At 37.4% G+C, this 12,062-nt stretch overlaps 1 protein-coding gene across 1 annotated transcript in view; it reads right to left on the bottom strand.

The window, feature by feature from the left end:
* Positions 1 to 7,588, bottom strand: part of SERPINB12 (serpin family B member 12) — a 50,220-nt gene extending 42,632 nt beyond the window's left edge. The window contains exon 1 of the mRNA XM_005266778.4: positions 7,514 to 7,588. Coding sequence (XP_005266835.2) covers positions 7,514 to 7,531 — 18 coding nt within the window. The 5' untranslated portion in view covers positions 7,532 to 7,588. The remainder of the gene's footprint in view (positions 1 to 7,513) is intronic.
* Between the last annotated feature and the right edge of the window lie 4,474 nt (positions 7,589 to 12,062).

The following is a 12,062-nucleotide window of genomic DNA, read 5'->3' as shown; positions in this document are numbered from 1 at the left end:
AAAATACTTTTTTACAACAAACTGTTTTATCCCAAGTATGGTCCACAGCCTTCATAAGATTATCAGGCAAATAAAAATCATAACGCTAAGCTATCAAGCAGGATAGATTTGTCCCATTTTGTCAGAAACACAATTTGGATAAAAATATAAAACAGTTAATGTCATGATTTTATTTTACTATATTTTACTGTCTTATGACTAAAATTCTAAGATGAAAGCTAGGGAAGATGGGCACCATGACTCACATCTGTAATCCCAACTACTCAGGATGCTGAGGTGGGAGGATCAGTAGAGTCCAGTAATTCAAGGCTGCAGTGAACTATGATCACACCACTGCACTCCAGCCTGGGCAACAGAGCAAGACTCCATCTCTAAAAATAAGTAAATAAGTATTAGTAAATAAATAAATAAAAAGGAAGCTAGGGAATCTGCTTCTGTATTTATGTTGTTTGTGTGTTTTCATGTTGTGTGTATGTAATAGCTTTCAACCAGAATTCATGAAAGAGCTCTAGTTAATTAATTAACTTAAAAGGAAAAAAATAAGTGTTTAAATCAAATATGTTACCAAAAATACAGCAACTAGCTCAAATGTTTTTAAGATCCATGATTTTTAAATTATTGATAATATAAAAATAGAAATGTCTTCAGAATTATCAGCATACATTTTTTCCTGGGTTTATTGGTCAGATGGGATTATATTTGTCTCCCCTAGATGTTTTAAAGTAATGAAAGTATAAATCCAGCTTAAAAACAAAATGATCTTTGTGTAAGTCTTTCATGAATAAGGCTAGTTTAATATTGTTAATTTAATGAAAATAGCTGTACCTTCTGAATTATTGGCAAAATACACACATATTTACTTTAAAGTTCTTACTTGGGTGATAAATGCCTGATATTTACAGGCTATAAAATCACTTAACAAAGAAATCACTTGAAATAATGACTCGACCTGTTGAATATTGCAGTTTTCATAAGTAATCTAGGTATAATTGTTTAAAAAAATAAATTTGGTAACTATAAGTTGGATAAATATTTATAAATAAACTTTTCATGTAATTTGAAATGTTAAAGTAATATTATGTTGAATTAAGTAATAGATACTCGTTAAGTGTCTGGGTCATTTCCAATATGAAAAATAAATTGCTGAACACAAGTACAAGTTTGTTCTTGACTTCTTAAATTTTATAGAACAACTAAATACATTTGACTCTATTAATAAAATTGTTAACTATTAAAAATTGTTGTATGAGAAGCTATGTTTCTAAAAATTATAAAATATGTATTTATAAGCTGTTGGTATAAGAATAAGAGTTCAAAACTGCTCACTTCTAAGGTTTCACTAGAAATTAAGGTTACTATGAGTAAAATTCCTAATTAGTATATACAATTCTGTACACAAAGTGTACCAGAAAGCTAAGATGTATTTTCGATGGGAAAAATTATAAGAAAGGCATAGAAAATGAGTTCTTTATTGTCTAAATCAGAGGTGATTTAATGGTTGTTTCAAAATACAGACTTAGAAAGGAAATAGAAACAACATAGAAAAAAACCAGTAAGCATGTGAGAAAGAAATTAAAAAATTATAGCTGTGAAAATACATTTTTGGTAACGAAGGTTAAAAACCAAAGAACTTTTCAAAATGGGAAGGGGGCCAGGCACAGTAGCTCACGCCTGTAATCCAGCACTTTGGGAGGCCGAGACTGGTAGATCACCTGAGGTCAGGAGTTCAAGACCAGCCTGGCCAACATGGCAAAACCCTGTCTCTTCTAAAAATACAAAAATCAGCTAGGCATGGTGGCACGTGCCTGTAATCCCAGCTACTGGAGTGGCTGAGACAAGAGACTCACTTGAACCCAGGAGGCTGAGGTTGCAGTGAGCCAAGATCATGCCGCTGCACTCCAGCCTGGGTGACAGAGCAAGACTGTCACGAAAAAAAAAAAAAAGGAAAGGGAAAGAGAAAAAAAAAGTAAATTTTTTGTCCTAAAATAAAATGACTGGTAAAAAGAAGTATAGCACAAAACTACAAAACTGAAGGTCCAAGCATGTTGTAGAAGTTCTGAGCACGTTGCAAATGTTTTATAAATAATAAATTTATAAAAGAAATTTTGGCCAGGCACAGTGGCTCACGCCAGTAATCCCAGCAATTTTAGGAGGCTGAAGCGGGTGGATCACTTGAGGTCAGGAGTTCAAGATCAGCCTGGCCAACGTGGTGGAACCCCATCTCTATTAAAAATGCAAAAATTAGCCGGGCATGGTGGTGTGCACCTGTAATCCCAGCTACTCAGGAGGCTGAGGCAGGAGAATTGCTTGACCCCAGGAGGCAGAGGTTGCAGTCAGCTGAGATCATGCCACTGCACTCCAGCCTGGGCAACAGAGTGAAACTGTCTCAAAAAGAAAAAAAAGAAAGAAAGAAATTTTGTGTGTAATCAATTTGGCTATAATTAAAGGAATCATTTAGAAGTTTTTCCAAAAATCGAGCATTAATATACTAATACGGAACTAGAATATTTTGGTCCCCTATGTTGGAATAACAAAATTTACTTAAAGTGTTGATCTTTTCTAGCAAAAAAAAAAGTTTTTCTTTTAATTCTGAATTTTTTTCAACCATTTTCTGAACTGCAACATCTTCTTGTTTTACAGTTTTTATTTCTGCCGTATTTCTTCCTGAGATCCATTTAATTTCCCTATTTAAGGTTGAGAATGCTGCCTTCTTCACTTAGAATGGCAATTTTATTTCTCAAGGTAGAATTTTCCTCTTGAAGCTTTTCAGATTCAATATCTTGGAAGTTCAACTTCCGTTGTATCCACAGCTTGTGATTTGCAAGTCACGCATCACTGCCTCCTGCTGTTTCTGTCCTTGAGAAAGTACCGCTTTTTGCTTGGCTGGGATGGTAATTCTCTCCTTCAACCTTCTCATCAGTTCCTATAACTTTTTTTTCCATTTATTAATCTGCTGCTGTGACCTGATGCTGAAATGTTTGTCCTGAAGGCTTAGAAAAGCAATGTTTTCTTCCAGTATAACTTGATTCTGTACTCTTGGCTTTTCTTGATCTGTCCGAATTGTGCTTGCATCCAGGCAATTTCAGGTGTCTTTACTTTTTCTAAAAGCCATACATTCCCCTGTTCAAGGTACTGGCTTTCTTGTTTATTTCTTCTGTCATATGGTGTACATTCATAACTTGGGCACAGACTCTTCCTGTGCTTGACTGAATTCAAGCACCTTTTCATCAGGTTTGACTTCCAGATTATCTAAACAAGCTTCCCATATGCGGAAGCAATCACGCTGAAGGAGGTTTGTTTCTTTACCTTTTAGTAATTGGCCTAGGAAACAAATATTTTGTCATTTCTTGTGCTTCATGTTGTCTTCATGAGTTTACTACTTAGGAAAAATGAACTTCGAAAGGGTTAAGGATTTTTCTTCTTACAGCCATGTGACTGTCTATATTTGCTTCTAAAGTCTTTTGAACATCACTTTGTTTAAATGAATGACTATTACTTCACAGTGACATGTTATCCCATTTTGATAAAGTGTTTTGAACCTTTTGACATTTTTGGCAGGCTTCCCCACAATCAAGTTCTAAATTAAATCTCTTTTTATCTCAAACTAACTTTGGGATGTTCCAGAGGACCCTGGAACATCTCAAAGTTTTATGGAAATGACATATTAAACTAAATTAGGCTGAATTAATATGTTGAATTATATGGGAAACATTATCAAATGATATCTGATGTTAGATTTTTATCTCAGTTACATTTATGAGTATGTTATTGATACGAATGTTCCAAAGTGATTCAAAATTCCTTAAAATCTAGCATGTCATCAGTTATAATTCTGGCTATCTTGTTGTATGCCACAAAAAAAAAATTTCTTATCAATTTCCAGATTTTTAACCATGGTTATTCTAAGTTTTTGTCATCCACAGTTATTGTTTTGATTCTTCTCTAAAGGCATCTGCAGTCAGATTCATGGCAAAGATTCTAACCAGTACTCTCGAATGCAGATTTCTAATAATGTTTAGATGATGGACTGAATAAAAATTTTCCTCAACTTTAAAGGAGAAACTGTTGAATTTGTGAAACTGCTAATCAAGATCAAGCAAAACAAAAAATTAATTACATGAAATTGAATAACTGATAAAGATTATGTTTTATGGCTTTTATTTGAAAACTATTGGCTCTTTATTTAAATGTTTTGCTTCCCAGATTTAAAGAAATTTTCTCTTTACCATTTTTCTCTTTATCTACAGCTTGCAATTTGGTAAAATATACTCTTGTGAACAAAAGTGGAAACATTTACTTTTTTTTGCTGATTGATCCCTCCAAAATTTGGAAACTATTTGTGAATGTTCTTATTTTTCTAGCAATAAGAATCTCCTCTTTTTATAAAAGGATACAATTGCAAGTGTTGGTTATATTACCAAGGTTTTGACTTAGATTTTAGTTTTAAGTTGTTTATACGTCCTGCAGACAAAGTCTGAAGTCTGCCTTGATTCGGTTTTCTAGCCTCAAGGGGTTTTTTAATCTGAAATTACCATGTGGTCAATCATTACTCTTGTCACACTATGTAAATGATCAGGTAAAATTTGATAAAAACTAAACTTATTTTACAAACAAATTAGTCTTATTTTGATTATCTGTGATAAAAATCAGGATTACTATAGAGAGAAAAACTATGTTTCTCTATAGCTATAATACGCTTTTCATTAGATTGTAGTCCTACCTATTGCTTTTGAGTTCTGGTTATCTACCTGTAGACTGAACTAGGTTCTGAATTATCTTACTTTCCTCCAATATCTAGCTGCAATGCTCCAACTAAGAACGATAACTGGTCTGTTCCTGAAGCCCTGTAGCTGAAACTAAATGAATTTTAAGGGACAAGTCTCATGCCTGATGTATGGGTCACACCAAAACTTCACTAGACCACCTAATTCCATTACTGGAGGTGTTCAGACTCCAAACCAGGACGAGGTATAGGCAGTTGACTGTTGTGGATGGCTTTTCTCACAGCGACAGAACAAAACTCCCAGCATAATGAGATTCTTACCCCTCTTAATTTTCCCTTGCTTGTGCCTACCTTTTTTTTGGGCAAGATAATGCTAAGTACAATCCTAGCAGACTAATGCTGGCCCAGTGCTTTGAGATGATAGCCAAGGCCTATGGAATAGACAAAAACTGAACTTGACAATGGACTCCAGGTCGACTTAGTCAAGAGCCACTCCTTCCAAACCTCCCTTGTTGCTCAAATGTTGCTAAAAGAATTTTGACCCGGACTCCTAGTCACCAGTCACTTCTCTCCAACAGAGGATCAGATCAGCAACCTGGGACAGGTCCACACTGACACTGAGGGATAACCAAAACTTATCAAGATGACTGATCGCTGATGCTTTCAGAGCAAAATCTTGATCAAAAGGGGGAAATGTGAACGTTGTCAGAATCAAATGGAGTCATTTATGTCAAGCCTTGACAAAATGGAGCCAGAGAAGGCAAGAAGGGATTTTTTTCATACACATACACCTGATAACAAGAAGTATCACAAAAGACTCTGCAAAAGCCATAACTTTGCACAAAGGACATCACAACCTCACACAAAAAAATTCCTTATACAAGGACATCTGTCCACCAACTGCCTGTTTAACATTGGACTGATGCCACCCTTGGTATTGATTCTTGTAGCCAAGGATAATTAATTCAAAACAACTTATGTAATCCTCCTTATTTTACCTTTAAAAATTTCTCCTTGCCTCAACCTCTTTGAATACACACAGTTAGTTTACTATGATGCACATATTCCTATTGCAAGGCTACTGCGAAATAAATATCATTTTCTTTTGGAGAGTTTCCCTCTCTATGTGTTACTTAGTTTGACACCTTCTATTTGTCTTGTAGAATGGCCTCACCATCTGTTTATTCACTTCAGCTTAAAATGTTAGTTGTTGATTTCTCCTGTTTACCCACCCCTACCCACAACTGGGCTTCAAGATGCTTAGCTTCTACCTATCAAACTTCTCTACATTTTCTCCTCTGTGGTCTGGTTTTTCTACCACTGTCCTGGTTTATGCCTTCATTACTTTTATTCTATATCAGAGTCAACAGCCTCTGATCAGCTTTTCTTTCTCCTACTGAGTCCCCCAATTTCATTCAGTCTGTCTCCCCCTTGCAAGGACACCTGTTGACTCCTCAGCCAGCATGAAGGACAATCTCCTGGGGGTGGATGTCCAGCCTCTCCCCACCATGCATCTGTGACTCATTCTCCACTGACACATGCATTTCAGCTACACAGCCTCTTCTAGGCTCCCAAACACACCTTGCCCTTTCACTGTTCTTGCTTTTCCTTTCCTAGAAATAGCTTCCACCCCACCCTTAACCTGCCTGAGAAATCGTCATCATCCTCTAGGGCTGGGCAGAAGCATGGCTCCTGCCACCATTGTCCCGTCCTGGTAACACTTGTTCTCTGTGTGCTCCACAATTAAGGCATTACCAAGCCTGCACTGGGTGTGAGGCCATGCCCTGCTTATAGGGAGTAGGCCCAACCGAAAGGAAAAGGTTACTCATGGAACCTGTCTCTGAGGAAGAGCAAGAGCCTCACACCTGAAAACAGAGCTGAGGGTGAAGGCCCTGGTTTGGACTACAGAAGATTCCCAGGGGCAAAGGGACAGATTCCTGATGAGCGCGTTTCACATGGGGTACCTGTTCTAGAGATAGGCAGGGAGCTAAGAAGCAGGCACCAAGACAGGGCATCCATGACAATGAGCCAGCCCCACGGGGCTGAGTTTCCCAACACAGGATCCTTGGAAACTGCCTCAGAATCACCCGTGATGCTTATTTCAAAATACTCATTCTCGAGCCTACCTTAGATAATAAGTCAGAACCTATAGAGATGGGACCGTGGAATCTGCATTTTAACAAAATTCTCAGGAGATGCTGAGACATATGAAATTTTTAGGACTCCTAGAATGAGGGATGAGGCATCTCGTGACAACAAGAAACACATGGCAAAGTTACCAACTCCCAGCCTTCAGGGCTGGATTCCACCCAGAAGACCTAGTTCCCTAACATGAAAGAGGCTCATGATTTTCAACAGTTAATTGCAATAATGCACCAAATGGTACTGGAATCTAGGAAACCAAGCTAGGAGGGCAGTCCATTGGTATATCAGACTGAGAGGGACAGAAGGGGCGGAGTTGAGGCAGAAGCAAAGAACAATTAGCGAAAGTTCAAGAAACAAAGTGAGGATCAAAGTACCAGTCCCTACCTTACAGGGTTTTTGTGCTACACATAAATGTGGTTGTGTATATCAAGCATCTAGCACATGGCTGGTACAGAGTAGATCCACAGCAGATCTCAGCTGCCCTGGGATTCATTCCACTGATTTTTCCTTTTATAAGCACTTTGCAGAGCCACTGTTGAAGGTCTTAAGGAAGCTAAACTAGGGTGGTCCCTGTCTCCCGGCCCCACACACCTGGTGCTCACAGAGCCACATCAGGTAAGTTGGGGCTGAGTCCCCGGGTCTTACCTGTGGACGGATGCTCATACGGGTAGAAGTGCTTTTGGGCAGTGCCTTGCTTGCTCCTACTCACCAAGACCCAGTACCACCAGACTCTATGAGCCTCGTATTTCAGTGTCCCCACCCTGAACTGTGAGTGGTAAATCATAGTCACGCCGGGTGCAACGTGAGTTCTAGAAAGACGGAAAGTAAAGTTTCAATTAAGCAAGATGAATAGATTCTAGAGATCTGCTGTTCAACGCTGTAATAATATATTGTTATTATTATTACAGCTGATAATAATATATTGTTGTACACTGAAAATTAGTTAGGAAGTTACACCTCATATTAACCGTTCTTACCATAAACAAATTTTTTAAGCTTGGGGAGGTGGCCTAGAATGAAACGTTAAGGAATGTTGCAGAGTGTCTTGGTGGCAAGGAGAAGAAAGCACTTCAACAACGTCCCCATAGCAGCAGGGGCAGAAGGTCTAAGGCAGGGCGGGAGTTCACAGACCTTAAAGAAAAGCTGTAGCAACTGACCGTTCCAGGCCCTGAGCAGCACTGTTATAATGTGACGGACAGCGCCATCTAGTGGAAGAGAAAATGAACAGAAGTGACCGATTCTCTTAAAGGTTGATGATAACATTGCGTTTGAGTCGGAAGGCACCTTAACAGTTAATATTTTACAGAGGAAACATAGAGACTAAGTTTGATTTCCCCACAGATTAAGCCAGTTCTCAAGTGACAGAGCTGTTTCCTTCTCAGCCCTGACATCCACCCAGACAAAGAAGCAAACTCTATGGTGTCAGGGTCGAGACAACAACCAGAAAAAACTTCATACCTAGCAAAAATAACACCTCTCCTGAGGCCAATGGAGATGAAGAAAACCTGAAAAGCTCCTTTCTGGAGAGCATTTTTACTATTCCGCCCTGTTATATAGAGAGCGCGACCATATAATTATTCTTCCACACCAGGACAATTCTGAAAGGGAAAAGGGCATCAAAAATAATTACAGTTATAGAGCTAAAGTTGCATAGATAGATGAAATCTGAATTGACAGCTGCTTTTATTTTACCGGCGGACCTTTAAAATCGTTCTATACAAAAAAAAAAGTTTTCAAAACTAAAATTCTCTTTTTTTTTTTTTGAGACAGAGTCTCGCTCTGTTGCCCAGGCTGGAGTACAGTGGGGCAATCTCAGCTCACTGCAACCTCCACCTCCCGGTTCAAGCGATTCTCCTGCCTCAGCCTCCCGAGTAGTTGGGATTACGGGTGTGCACCACAACGCCTGGCTAATTTTTGTATTGTTAGTACAGACGCGGTTTCTCCATGTTGGCCAGGCTGGTCTCAAACTCCTGACCTCAGGTTATCCGCCCACCTAGGCCTCCCAAAGTGCTAGGATTACAGGCGTGAGCCACCGCGCCCGGCCCTAATAAAATTCTCTTTTAAAATAGCATGTGTCTAGCTAGGCGCACTGTTTCACGCCTGTAATCCTAGCACTTTGGGAGCCTGAGGCCGGTGGATCACCTGAGGTCAGCAGTTCGAGACCAGCCTGGCCAACATGGTGAAATCCTGTCTCTACTAAAAATACAAAAATTAGCCGGGCATGGTGGCATGCACCTGTAATCCCAGCTACTCAGCAGGCTGAGAGAGGAGAATCGTCTGAACCCGGGAGAAGAAGGTTGCAGTGAGCTGAGATCGCCCACTGCACTCCAGCCCCATCTCAAAAAATAATAATAATTAATTAATTAAAAATAAAATAAAATAGCATGTATCTGTACACACTAAGCAAAATGTGAAAAAACTTTTTGTTATCTCAGTGTGAAAAAAACACAAACAAACAAAATCATTATTCTTGTATAATCTCAGGTATTTTAGAAATCCTGGTCTCCAAAGCTGTCACTACAATTTTTCCGAAGAATTTAGTTTCTCAATGTGCTGTATTATTTTTAATTCTTTTATAAAATTGCCAGAAATCTTCTTCAAAGCTCATTTTATGATTAACGAAATTGGGGTTGTTAGAAGATAGTCTTTCAGTAGATGCTGAAATACCTGCTAAGCTCAGAGCAAATTCTACATAAGGGATATTGTTGATTAAAACTTTTCCATAATTTAATTCTTAAATAATCCAGCTCTAATATTGTCACAGCTATGGTTTCTTTGCCTCTATTCAGAGAAAATGTTTTCAAAAAGCCGGAACTTGTCAAATAAGTTATCTGTTTATGATTATTTTGAACATTTCACCAAGTTTAGAAAGTGCAAAATTGAGGACCTTGGTTTCATTCTGTACTGGTAAAAAATACATATATATATGAAGTTGTCTAATTAAAAGTACAAATCCTATCAAAAGATCCCTCCCACGAGTTGAAATATTCCAAAATGCAATTATAGAATTTCAAAATTAAACATCACACACGTTTGAACTCTTATTCTTAAATTTGTTCAGCTCCCTCTTTCTTTCTTTGGTGATTAATTTATATGGCGTCCTGTCTGCAGGCTTTGTTTTTGATAATTTTAATTAGCTAAAAGCAGCAAAAGCTGAGGTTTTCTTATGCTCTGTTTCATAAATGCTTTGTGTAGACACTTCCAACTGATTTTGAGGGGAAATGCAATGAAAAGGTAAATGATTGGTTTACTAAAAACAACAAAACTTTAATACTAATATGGGACATGAGTTGATTCATAATATAGTTTTTCAAAGATTCCGACACTTCTAAAACCCAACTGATGAAGGCTTCACAAAAAACTGCAATTATTCTGTACATACATTTAAAAACTTGTACAGAGGACCCTAGAGATTAGTAAGGGATGGAGGGGAGATAGAGATTTGTTAAAAAATACAAAATTACAGTGTTCTATAGCACTGTGGGGTGACTTCAGTTAATAATAATATAGTACAGGCCTTCTAATAGCTAGGTGTATATTGAGTGTTCCCAACACAAAGCAATGATAAATATTTGAGATGGTGGATATGCTAATTACCCTGATCTGATTACTACACATAATATGTATCAAAACATCACGCTATACCCCATAAATATATACAATTGTTATATGTCAATGTAAAAAATTAAAGGAAAAACAATTTCTAAAATAAATAAATGTTCATACATTTTTACAACTGTAACCTCTATTTTTGTAAAATAACAGTGTATTTGGACACAATTATGAATTTTATGAGCCCTACAACCAATTCCAAGTTTATTGCTGACTTAGGGGATTTTTTTAATTTAGAAAAGAAAATGTGTTCATTATAACAGTGACATTGTTTTCCTTTTGTAGAGAAACAAATGATGAAAAATAAATGCATATTTTTGAAAAGTGGAAAAAAAACACTGACATTACCAAAATTTCTATTTATGTTATCACTATAGAAATAAGTATTATCTTCAATTATGAACCTTTAAATTTACAATTAAATTCGTAATAGTGTCAGATGTTTCTCATTTAATAGACAAATATTCCAGAAGTTTTGTAAATCCCACAAAAGAAAATTGGAACCATTATTTAAATTAACATAAATAATTTTCTATTGGCAACAGCTCATGACACTGACATAAAACTGACATCATTTAACTGTTGGGGTCATTCTTATAAGAAAAACTTGGAATTAGAATGAGTTAATTAATTTGGACAATAGTCACATGATCTGAATGAAACATCACACTTCCCAGAGGGCTGCATGGAAGGCCTTTGCAGCCAGATGTGCTAAATTGTAACATTTGGAGGAGACCCTCGTGCTTCTCCAGCAGGTTAGCATTTCTGGTTTTCATGTGGTCAGTGATGGCAGTGCAGCCCGTGGTTAATGGGAAATTTTAATCCAAGTTACATCGTCAACAGGAGAAAAGCAAATTCAGCACCCCTGGTTTTTCATTAAATATGCTCTTTCTTTTTTTTTTTTTTTTTAAGCTCAATGTTGTCAACAGGGTTTACTGCAAAATTAAAAGTTGTTACCAAATAAATAAGCAGCTGCAGATTTACCCCCATGCACTAACTGATAAAACCGCAAGTGCCTTCAGACTATTCTGTATATGCTCACAGAACCCCTCAGCCTGCGTGACCCAGTATTTCATAAACACACAAGCTCTAATTTCAGACATTTCCTATTGACCTCACCACCTGGCAGCCCTGGGGCTTTGTGAACCTCAAAGACCAAGGCCTCGGTCTTTGACGCAGCAGCCAATATTTCTCCCACACTCAGAGATCCTAAGTCAATGCCTAGATGTACTTTATTTTACTATCTTACGTGGTATCTTGAACGAATGGTATTAGTTTTGTTGTATCTGGAAAGACTCCAAGAAAATAAATAATGAATCAATCAATCAAACAGTGTTTTCTTTTTGTTGTTTTTTTTTTTAATCATGGGTCATCTTTTAGGTTTGACCCCGTGTTTAAATGAAAATTCTGTTTCGCACTGTTAGAGAAGACAATGGCAAAGCTAGAAGTACAAGTTGCGAGGGAGGGGTTTAGCGAACTCATCCAGGATTGTCTTAAATATTAGGCAAATGTTAAATATACTTCACTTAAAATTATTTTAAATCCGGGATAAATGCTAATAAGACCTTCTGAAAACAGCTGT

The sequence above is a fragment of the Homo sapiens genome, chromosome 18 (genome assembly GCF_000001405.40).
Source record: "Homo sapiens chromosome 18, GRCh38.p14 Primary Assembly".
Taxonomy (NCBI): Eukaryota; Metazoa; Chordata; class Mammalia; order Primates; family Hominidae; genus Homo; species Homo sapiens.
The sequence above is the reverse complement of the archived record's forward strand: the minus strand, read 5'-3'. Positions and strand labels throughout refer to the sequence as shown.